Here is a 12,127-nt window from a genome sequence, read left to right as displayed (position 1 = left end):
ACTGAACTAGCAACCTGGGTACCTAACAAAAGTGGTCTTAGAAGTGCAAGAGTAGGCTGGGAGATAGCCAAGGGTGCAGAATTGCCCTTAAATTATACGGACCTCTTAACAGCTGTTACTGTTTATTATATCTTGTTTGTGTTCATGACATATACCATATCGAGCAGGACACATTCATAGGTTTTTTACATTGTAACAGATTGGCAAGTGGATTATATAGAACATCTCCTTGTAAGCCAAGAAAAGAAATATGTGTTAACCTGCATGGACACTGCTATTGGACTGCTGCAAGGTTTCCTTGTAAGTAAGCTAATCAAGCCAGTACTACTAAGGGTTCAGAGGCTCCAAGTACTATGTATAGATATCCTCAGCACATTGACAGTGACCAAAGAGTCAATTTTCCTAGACACGATGTGCAGGACTGGGCCAGGGAACACAATACAGCATGGCATTTTCCTCTCCTATACAACCGCCAAGCAGTGGGATTAACTGAAAGGAAAAAATCATGGTCTGCTGAAAACACAAATTCAAACTTTACTGGGGGAACCTACATTGCACAGGTGGATGAATGTGTTACCTGCAGCCATTATTTCTTTAAATTCAGCCAAAGTGGGGACACATCCCCCAAATGACAGGTTGAAACAACTGTCCCTGAACCTATGTTTGCACATAGGTAACTGAGACAACTACTTTGCTCCCAGACCTGATTGACAATCAGCGTGTTTTTCACATGAAAACACCAATGGACATACTACCAGGAAAGGGAAGACTCCACTGGGACTTGGGATGGCAAATATCTTCAGGCTGGATAGGCTATTTCCTGCTGGAGACTGGGGAATATCCTAAAGAGTTAGAATGGTACTTGTTGATTCTATTAATACTGGACCCACAATCACCCACTATAAATGGTCAGGAGAAATACATGGCATGGTGGTGGCATCTCTAATATGGTGTACTCCCAACCAAATTACTTTGACAACCACTGCTGTCCCATGATGCCCTGGGCAACATATTTGGTATACAACCCTCTTACAAAAGTCAAGAACTGCTTTTTTACTAACTGCTGTAGATGAATCAACTGGTGTCATCTGATGAATCAACTGGAGAATTTCCCTTGCAAGAACCCCGTTTCTCTTTTAAACTTAAGTTATTATGTTTTGTTGCTGCTATCACCAGCTGTCACCTTTGAAGCCAATCTTTTCCTACAATGGACCCAAGACTATTCTATCGGCTTACAGAAAACACTTGTTGCATGTGTGGCCTTATGCCACTCACCAACGTTTCTGGCCTGCTGTGGTGGTTATCTCCCTTCCAAGGATGAGATTAGATAGAATATCACAAATATGTTACTGCTTCCCCAAATTGCATGGAGGTATTGAATACAAGGATGATGAGAGATAAAATAACCCAATGGCCCATTAATACTACTCTTTCTGAAAGAGGACACAGGAAGAGTTTCTCTATCAATAAAACCAGCTCACTCACTCTCCACTTGCAATACTCTAGTAAATTTGCCTGGCTATTCTAGGAACAAAAGAATCATTCTAAAAATGCTTTACCAAATAGCATGAGGAATATGGTACGGATACCAAGAGACAAATGTTCACATACTAAAATATTACGAAGTAATGACTGCCATGGTATAGAATGGGCACTGCACCCAGGAATTTATTGGTTATCTCAAAATGGAACTTCCTGGATGTATGGCACCAATTTATGGCCTTGGTTACACCCCAGATGATTAAAAAGATGTCCTTTTGGTTACACATGGGCATGAGATCAAGTAGTTCACACCCTTACAAAGCCTGCAAATCTGCCTTATTTGAAATACCACTGGGCCCCATTTATTTTTGGTCTGATCATTTGACCTATATTTTTCTTCCTCAACTGGACATTAAAGATGTTATTTGGCATGTGGAAGCTGTAACACAATTATACAAAGAAAGCTTTGAACAATAGCCACATGGGAATCTCTCTTTTAAACATGGAAGTCCCTCTTATGAGAAAGGCCGTCCTGCAAAATGGCATGGTTTTAGGCATACTACCGCACAAGGAGGGACTTGGGCAATCATAAAAACTGAATGCTGTGCTTATATTCCTGATGAGTTATATATCACTAAATGAATGACTGACATGAATACCCAAATAACTGATCTCTCAGACTGAACCTCCACTTTGATTGGTTTCGTAGCTGGTTTGGTTTGCTTCCTGGGATACCTAGTGGCAGAAGCCGTTTCTTCGTTTAGGTGTTATATTGATATGTTGCTTACTGTCTTGTCTTTGCCTTTACTGTTGCTGTGGCATCTGTCTCCAATGGAGACAATGCACTACTGCTGAAGCCATGAAGTATGAAGAAACCTCCCTCTAGGCCCAGGGACTATCCCAGAAGAGGTGGGCATGTGGGATTGCAAGGATCAGTTTTGAGGAGTGGAGTGGAGGAAAACAGACTGTTGCATGGACACAGTGATGCCATCTTGAAGCAAAGCCACCATAATGACTGATATCTGACTCAAGCATACCAAGGTGTTCTGCACAAGGTCTTTCAGCAATGCGTGAAGCATAGATAACTCCTCATAAAGATGCTTATCTAACATCGCCAGTGGTCACAAGTTTTCAGTAAGAAAGTCCTATAAGTAACCAGCTTCACATGTCTTTACCATAAAGGCTTGCTATATAAAAGATACTTTCTAGAGGGTAGGTGTAAAGATCTGCTGTTTCACAACCACCCAAGACATTGCTTCTGTACATAAGTCCCTATTCAATAATTTCTCTCTGAGAAACTAATTATCTCAGATCCCTTGGCCTTTGAGGATAGGTTTACATATTCTTACTCACCATGCAACAGTAATAGTATTTTCCTTCTTTCGAAATGACTTTCAATACTAATATAATTAGTGATCATTTAAAGATTAATGTTTGCATCGTAAGTTGCATGAGCACATCCAAACAACCCTATAAAGCCCCACAGTTGTTAGTGCTTTTGGGGGGATGGGGGATATATTCTCACAAGCCAATGTTTAAATCATTGCAGAAATATAATGTTAATAATACCCTACACTTTGAAATGTACACATGTATGATCACATACACAATCACATTTGAGTCTCACAACTTCCTTAGGAGATAGTTTCAATTGTTATTATCCCCATCTTACAGTTAAAGAAAGCAGGTTCAGAAATAAGAAATCACTTTCTGAATGATGTATAGGAACAGAAGATAGATCTGAAACCCAGTTTTTCTAATTCTGCAATTGTAAGTTTTTCAATTACACTGTTATTCCTTCCTCTTTTTATTTAACTAGGAGGCAGAAAATATTGTCACTACGTTCTTTACATTTTTTTTCAGGGCAAGCATTAGGAAAATGAACAATTAGGTCACTATTATAGAGCCAAAAAACACTGTTACTTCCTAGTCAAGAAGGCAGAAAGATTGTGCTAACAGAACCTTGAACTAATGAATAACCTTTTATCATGAATTATAATGTAACACCTGTAACATTTAGCTGTAACAATATTTTAATTTAGTAGAATTTCCTGTGATAATGTTAGCACACATATGTGAAAATCAAGCAGAAAGAAACATTGAGAGGATCTTAGTGAAGATCATTACACAAATGACCTACACTCTCAGAATATTTATAAGTAAAGAAAGAATTATTCTAGTTTCTCATTCAAATAAAATGTAAGACAATTTCTTGGCCCAAAGTAAATAAGAAGCTGCTGATGTCTAAACTGAACAGATTTTCAGACTCCCCATGTTCATTTTTTTCCTTGTAATTCCTCTTCTCCATTTATCTTATTTCCCTTGACAGGTTCTATCAAGACATATGAGCTTTTTCTAGAAATATGTATTTGAAAGAGGTATTTACTGTGTTTTCAGGATGATATTAGTTCTTTGGGGAAAAAATGGGAAACTTTAAAATCATAAGCTGTATTTCCAAGCAACAAGTGTTACCCCTTACTGTGTCATCCTAATGCATATTAATTTAAAATATAAAATATCCTAAGGTTTTGTAGTCATTGGTTAATGTATATGAAATAATGATGTGTCCTTTTGAGTACTGCAATTCAAGAACTTCCAGAGAACACTGAACATAGAAACCTCTTTCCCTTGTTATAATAAGAGGATAGACTTTATGCTTTCAATGTATAGTTCCTTCCACCCAAAATTCGTCAGAACCATGGGTCATTTGATTTTCTTATAGCAATTTAGGGAGAATATCACTTGGCACATATTTAGTAATGCATGGGGATTCCAAATATGTATTTTGGGGGGAAATATGTCTTTCTGAGTTGAGTATACCATTTTCAACATGCAAACCCATTCTGACAAACTAAGCTGGGTAAATTGGCCATGTCAGTTTAGCTTGGCTGCCCTTGTATCAAATTCAGAACAATGTCATAATAATGCTATATTTCATTTCTACAATCTCTATGCACTATAAAGGAAGGTGCTAAACAAGATTAATAACACCCAAAAAGTTAGTGTAGGATAAACCCACAAATAATTTAGTTATTCCATGTGGATTCATAATATAACCTTTATTGTGAAAATCACAACACAATTAAACAAATCTCAAACATGCATGTATGATTGTGTGTGTGTGTGTGTGTGTGTGTGTAAATAAGAGTAAAGGAGTTGACTAGAATACAAATCTGTCTTACAGCTAGGAGGATCCATTTCTCTTTTACTTCAGGAAAGATAGGTCTCCCTTGATTCTTTATGTTTTCTGTTTACCAGATTAGGATTCTAGATGAGCTAAAGTCCTTGTTTTAATTAAGTCAAGGAGACAGTCATAGTATTTCTTTTAAAATAAACTACAGTCCACTTTCTACATGAAAGGAATCAGGAAGGTGGAAGACCAAAAGAATAGAAAAGTAAAGGGAATAGGAAAATGTGTTGGATCACACCACTGATTGCTACAAAAAATTAATTTGTTTTTTGTTGTGAACCTTTTCATCAGGAGAACCTCCATCATGCACAACATGATGTTTCCAACGAATGTCCTCAAGGCAACAGGAAGAAAAATTCATTCTAGATCTAAGCAAATGCTAACCCTGCAATTGAACAGGAGCAATCAATACAGGTCCAAACAATAACATTTAAACAAATAAGAAAGACCTTAGATCAAGAGGGGACATAATTAAAAGGCAACCTCTTGAGAAAAGAGAGTTTTGAGGTTAAAAAAATTCAGCCTCAATAGAAAGAAACATATTGAGCATGTAATCATATTTCAAAATAATTCATCTTTAAAGAAAAATACTAGACCTTGTCTTTTACTCATTCAGAATGGGATATTGAACCTGAGTAAACAGAAGATAGAAAGAGCTGTTTTACAGGATTTTCATTACAACTGTTTTGATTGTCTTTGTTCATGTTAACTTGTGAGATCTCAGGGTACAGATGATTTTTATCTTTATCTTTTTTCAGAGAAGAAAATGGAAATTCAGAGACATACGATGAAATGTACTCAGGTGGTAGAGTTAGAGAGAAACTGGTTTTATAAGTCCTTGTCAAACATGATTTTCTACAAAATATTGTATGCTTTAAAGAAGCTAATAACAATGTAACAATATTTTAAGGAGACAATTTCTCTTAAATATGATGTGATTTCTAAATTTTGGTGCCTTGTTTTGAAATTTGAGGTGGAATTATTTTTTAGGAACGTATGGATCTTCCTGAGGAGTCTATTTTAGAAGTTTTCTTAAATTATTTTTTAAATTGTATTTTTGATACAATTTTAGACATTAAAAGAGTTGCAAAAATAGTACAAAGAATTCCTTATACCCTTTATCCAGATTCTCCATGTGTTAACATCTTATATAACTACAGTTCATTGAAAAATCAGGGATTAACCTTGATACAATAATAATACTTAAATCTACAGACCAGTTTCTCCAACTGACCAATAAATGTCCTTGTAGTGACCCAGGATCCAATGCAGGGTCAGAGGATGCATTTTGTTGTCATGGCTTCTTACTTTCGTTCAATCTGGAAGGGTTCCTCTGTTGACCATTTGTCTTTCACAACCTTGACACTTTTAAAGACTACTGGAGAGGTAATATGTAAAAATGTTTCTTAGTTTGACTTAGTTTGATGTTTTCTTATGATTGTGCATTTTTGTAAGAGTACCACAGAAGCAATGCTGTGCCTTCTCAGCACATCCTGCTTGTCCCAGGCTCGGGATATCTGTATGTTTCATTTTTGGTGAAGTTAAGGTGATGCCTAAAAGTTTCTCCACTTTAAAAGTTACTACATTTTGGTTTATGATTAATAAGTAACATATAGGGAGCTACTTAAAAACCGTATAAATATCTTTTTTTTCATAAGGCCTTTGCCTAACATCCATAGTTAACTCTTGGCTGAAACAATTATTCCATTTCTTTCATTCCTTCTAGATTTATTAGTTGGAATTCTACTTTAAGGAAGACCCGTCTGTAACCTACTATTTATTTTTATTTAAACTATGTAATCAATAGTAATTCATGGCTTCCTGTTTTATTTTATGGGTAATAATCTAACAGTATCATTATTTTCCTTCTCAAATTGTTCTTCTGAAACCATTTTGAAAATCAATCTGTCAGAAATGTCAGAAAAACAGATTACAAAGGTAATTTGGTATGAGTTGATAAGGTCTCTTTCAGAGTTAAGGTTTTATGCTATGGGTGTGTTCACACATAGGAATGTGCCTGAAATACAATTTGCTACCTTTCCTTTCTTTGTCCCAGTTGTATTAATGAATCAGAGATCATTACTGGGTTTGAAAGATGTTTTTCTGAGCTGTAGTCTGGTGATCTGTCCTTAGGCCAAATCCTTTGTTAAAAAATATTTATTTATGTTTTATTTATACACCATACCTGTACATATTTCCACAGTACATGTGATAATTTGATACATTCATACAGTCAAAACAAGGAAACTGAAAAATCTTTTACCTTAAATATTTATCTTTTATTTATGCCAGGAACATTCAAATTATTCTTTTCTAGTTGTTTTCAAATATATAATTAAATAATACTAACTACAGTTATCCTACTAATCTATCCAACGCCAGGTCTTATTTTTTCTCAGTGCATATTTATACCTATTAATCAACCTCTCTTCATCTTCCCTTTGCCTTTCTCAGACTATGGTAACCACCAACCTACTCCTTGTCTTCTAGAGACCCACTTTTTTAGTTCCCACGTATAAGTGGGAATGTGCTTAGATTATTTCACTTAACTAGTGATCTCCAGTTCCATCCACATTGCTGCAAATAACAGAATTTCATTTTTTATACCTGAATAATATTCCATTGTGTGTACATACACCAGATTTTCTTTATCCACTCACCCATTAATGGATACTTAGGTTGATTCCATATTTTGACTATTGTGAATAGTGCTAAACATGGGAGTGCAGATACCTCTTTGATACAGTGATTTCCTTTCTCTTGGATATATACTCAGTAGTGAAATTTCTGCATTGTATTATAGCACTATTTTTAGATTTTTTTGTTTAGTTTTAATTTTTTTGAGGAACATCTATACTGTTTTCCATAATAGCTGTACCATTTTACATTGCCACCAACAGTGTGTGATATTAATTCCCCTTTCTCCATGTCCTCACCAGCATCTGTTATCCTCTGCCTTTTTGATAAAAAGGCATTATAACTAAGCGAGAAGATACCTCATTGTGATTTTGACTTGCATTCCTCTTACGCTTAATGATGCTGAGCATTTCTTCATATGTGGCCATTTATATACCTTATTTTGAGAAATGTTTATTCACATCTTTTGCTCATTTTTAAATTGGATTACTTACTTTTTTGTTATTTAGTTGTTTGAGCTCCTTATATATTCTGGTTATTAATCCCTTGTTAGATGGCTAATTTCTAAAGACTCACATTCTGTGGGTTGTCTCTTCAGTTTGTTGATTGTTTCCTTTGCTGTGCAGATTTTTAGCTGAATGTAATTTCATTTGTTTATTTTTGTTTTTGTTGTGTGTGTTTTTGAGGTCTTACACAAAATAATCTTTGATCAGACCAATGTCCTGGAACACTCCCCCAAAGTTTTTTTCTAGTACTTTCACAGTTTGAGGTCTTAGATTTAATTCTTTCATCCATTTTGATGTGATTTTTGTATTTGGTGAGAGATAGTGATACAGTTTCATTTTTTCTCATTTGGTTATCTAGTTTTCTTAACATCATTTATTGAAAAGAATGTACTTTCCCCATTGTATGTTCTTGGTGCCTTTGTTGAAAATGAGTTGGCTTTAAATTCATGCATTTATATTCTATTCCACTTGTCTATGTGTCTATTTTTATTCCAGTACCATGCTGATTTGGTGACTATAGCATTTTAGTATATTTTGAAGTTAGGTGTAGTGTGATGCCTCCAGCTTTGTTTTTTTTGCTTAGGATTGCTTTGGCACTCTAGGGTCTTTTGTGGGCCTATATAAATTTTAGCATTACTTTTTCTCTTTCTGGGAATAGTGTCACTGGCGTTTTGATAGGGATTGCACTGAATCTGTAATTGCTTTGGGTACTATTGTCATTTTAACAATATTAATTCTTCCAATCCACAAGCCTGGAACATTCTTTCATTTTTTTTGTGTGATCTCTTCAATTTCTTTCATTAGTGTTTTATAGTTTTCCTTGTATAGATCTTTTACTTTTTGGTTAAATTGATTCCTATACATTTTATATTCTTTGTAGCCGTTGTACATGAGACGGCTTTCTTGCTTTTTTTTCACATTGTTTGCTGGTGGTATATATACATGCTACTGATGTCTGTATGTTGATTTTGTATCCTGTAATTTTAAATTAATGTATCAGTTCTAAGAGTATTTTAGTGGAGTCTAGCTTTTTCACACTACAATATTGTTTGCATACAAAGCTAATTTGACTTCTTCCTTTACAATTTGGATGCCTTATTGCTTCCTCTTGACTAATTGCTCTAGCCAGGACTTCCAGTACTATGTTGAATAAAAGTAGTAAAAGTGGGAATTCTTGCCTTGTTCCAGATAATTGAGGAAACACTTTCATTTTTTTCCTATTGGGTATAAGGTTGACTGTGGGTTTGTTATATATGACTTTTATTGATTTGAGTATGTTCTCTCTATACTTAGTTGATTGAGGGTTTTTCTCATAAAGGGATGCTGAATTTTATTGAATGCTTTTTCAGCATCTGTTGAAATGATCATATGATTTCTGTTCTTGTGATTTATCATGTTTAGTGATTTGCATATCCTGAACCATTCTTGCATCCCTGAGAAGAATCTCACTGGATCATGGTGAATATCTTTTTAATATGTTGTTAAATTTGGTTTACTAGTGTTTTGTTGAGGATGTTTGCACCTGTGTTCATCAGTGATATTGGCATGTAGTTTCCTTTGTGTGTGTGTGTGTGTCCTTGTCTGGTTTTGGTATCAGGGTAATCTGGCTTCATAGAATGATTTTGGAAGTATTCCCTCCCCTTCAATTTTTTTGAAGAGCTTGAATGGTATTGGTATTAGTTATTTAAATTTTTGGTGGAATTCAGTAGGAAAGCCATCAGGTCCTGGGCTTTTCTTGGATGTGAGACTTTTTATTACTGCTTCAATCTCATTACTTGTTATTGGTTTGTTCAGGTTTTCTATTTCTTTATGGTTAAATCTTGGTAGGTTGTATGTGTCCAAGAATTTATCCATTTCCTCTAAGTATTTCCATTTGTTGATATATAGTTGTTCATAATAGTTTCTAATAATTCTTTGTATTTTTGTGGTCTTAGCTGTTATATACTTTTTTTGTTTCTGATTTTATTTATTTGAATCTTCTCTCCTTTTTTCTTACTTTAGCTAAAATCCAATCCTTTATCTCTGTCTTTCCTTAGGGGCATTTCTCCCTTCAGAAACTGATATGGTTTGGCTCTTTGTCCCCACCAAAATCTCATCTCGAATTGTAATCCCCACATGTTGAGGGAGGGACCTGGTGAGAGGTGACTGGATCATGGGGACAGTTTCCCTGACGCTGTTCTCATGATAGTGACAGATTAAGTGTTTGGCAATTCCCACCTCACTCTCTCTCCTACTACCTTGCTTCCCCTTCACCTTCCTCCACGATTATAAGCTTCCTGAGGCCTCCCCAGCTATGCAGAACTGTGAGTCAATTAAACCTCTTTTCTTCATAAATTACTCAGTCTCAGGTAGTATCTTTAAAGCAGTGTGAAAACAGACTAATACAGGCACTCATGATGCTTCCTGTGTGTGGAGGTATGGACAAGTGTCCATCTGCTTGTGGTTCTTTCATTTATGTGTGTCCTCAGGAACTAACTTATTCTCATGTTTGAGTTCTGAAATATTGCTGGAGATAATCTTGGTGCAGCATATTTATTTTTGGTTTTCTGGCTTCATAGATGAAGCCAGCTTGCAACTATGCTGCCCTTTTGGAACTAGAAGTCTCTGGGCCAAATCTTTGGGCTCAGCTAGACTCTTCCCTTGATCTGCTTTCTACCCTGCCTATCACTAGATCTCTTCACATACCTCTTCCTTATATTTAACGAAAAACCCCAAACCAAAGAAAAACCTTTTAAGTTTCTTCTTTATCAAAGGTATTCTTAAGTTGATAAATATTAAATTCATCCAAATATTATTAATTTTAAAAATTAATAATAATATCACTCCTCACTCATGTGGCTTTCACAGCGTACAGGCTCTCTTATTTAGGCTTTACGGAAATTGAAACCACGATTTAAATGTAAATGGTATGTTTGGTAAATTCAGATAACACAGGTAGAGATGTGATAAAAAGGAAGGAAGACAGCCAACAAAAGGTGAGCTACTAAGCCAACTGATGTGCTTTGGCTATGTCCCTCCCCCAAATCTCATCTTGAATTGTAGTTCCCATAATCCTCACGTGTTGTGGAAGGGACCAGGTGGAGATAATTGAATTATGGGGGTGGTTTTCCCCATCCTGTTCTCATGATAGTGAATTAGGGATCGGATGGTTTTATAAGGTGTTTCCCCTGCCCTTCGCTCTGCACTCTTCCTTGCCTGCTACCATGTAAGATGTACCTTTGCTCCTCCTTCACCTTCTGCCATGACTGTGAGGCCTCCCCATCCACGTGGAACTGTGAGTCCATTAAACCTCTTTTTCTTTATGAATTACTCAGTCTTGGGTATGTTCTTATTAGCAGCATAAGAATGGGCTAATATACCAACTAACATGGTACATAACTTGAGCTAGATCCTGCTTGGAAACTCTGGAAATTGATCACCAAGCTTGATAGCACGATTCATAAAAACCATGCACCATAATCATCTGACTTGAAGTATAAGGAAACTGGAATATTTATATACAAATCATTGGAGAACCATTGGTGGAGAATTGCTCACAGAAGTGTTAGTTCCTCAGCACTCCACCTGTTCAGTGTGTGCATACACACATACAGCAATGGAATCTTCCACAGTTCCAGCAAAAAGATCCCTCAGGTGCACAGCTTTAGATACTAGAAGTTGGATGTTGGCCAAAGGACACTGAGATACTTGTATCCAAGTTCTGTTGCATAGTTTATTCAGTGCTAAAAGAGAATCATGCCGAGTAGCCAGAGTAGCTGTAATTTTTGTCTTATGAATTAAGTGAGGTTTGGAAAACCCAAGTGACAAACTGAAAGTCACATAGTATAACATATGTACATGAAGGTTATTGTTAGACAATTAGAGAGCATAGGGAAAAATACAGTCTGTGCTTCCATTTGCCAGAGATTAGAATTGTTAGTATCAGATGGACCCTTAGAAGAGAGAAACTTGCTGCTCAGCTTTCCAAAGTGAACCCTGGGACCTCTCTGCCACATGAAGTCTTTAGACTTACTTCAAATTGCAAAACGGGATGAACCATTCCCATTTCTCAATGATTTACATTTGGCTGCTCTGCTCAATTGGTACCACTGAATAATGACCCATATTTCATTTCTTGCTGACTTACCTGCACATTAGGCAGTTTCTATTAAAGTCCTAATGTACCAAAGCAAGGTAAATGGATGATCAGGAGGTTGTTCCATACAGCTCAAAGTTTCCATAGAGTCATCCACCTGGAGACATAGTCCAGCTAATTCTTTGAATCTAAAAAATAAGAAATACCTGTGTTAATTCAACACTAAAGATAAAGCAA

The 12,127-nt window shown here is 36.0% G+C and overlaps 1 long non-coding RNA gene across 2 annotated transcripts in view; it reads right to left on the bottom strand.

The window, feature by feature from the left end:
* The window catches only part of LOC105376987 (uncharacterized), a 108,868-nt gene that overhangs the window by 52,743 nt on the left and 43,998 nt on the right, over positions 1–12,127 (bottom strand). The window contains exon 4 of one of the 2 annotated variants that reach the window (XR_940644.2): positions 11,942–12,078. This is a non-coding gene — a long non-coding RNA (uncharacterized LOC105376987). Of the gene's footprint in view, positions 1–11,507; positions 12,079–12,127 lie in introns of those variants that run through there. The other variant, XR_001740620.2, reaches the window with a different exon arrangement.

Source organism: Homo sapiens, chromosome 3 (assembly GCF_000001405.40).
Source record: "Homo sapiens chromosome 3, GRCh38.p14 Primary Assembly".
NCBI classification, from domain to species: Eukaryota; Metazoa; Chordata; class Mammalia; order Primates; family Hominidae; genus Homo; species Homo sapiens.
Note: the sequence above shows the minus strand (reverse complement) of the source record. Positions and strands in the feature narration are given on the sequence as shown.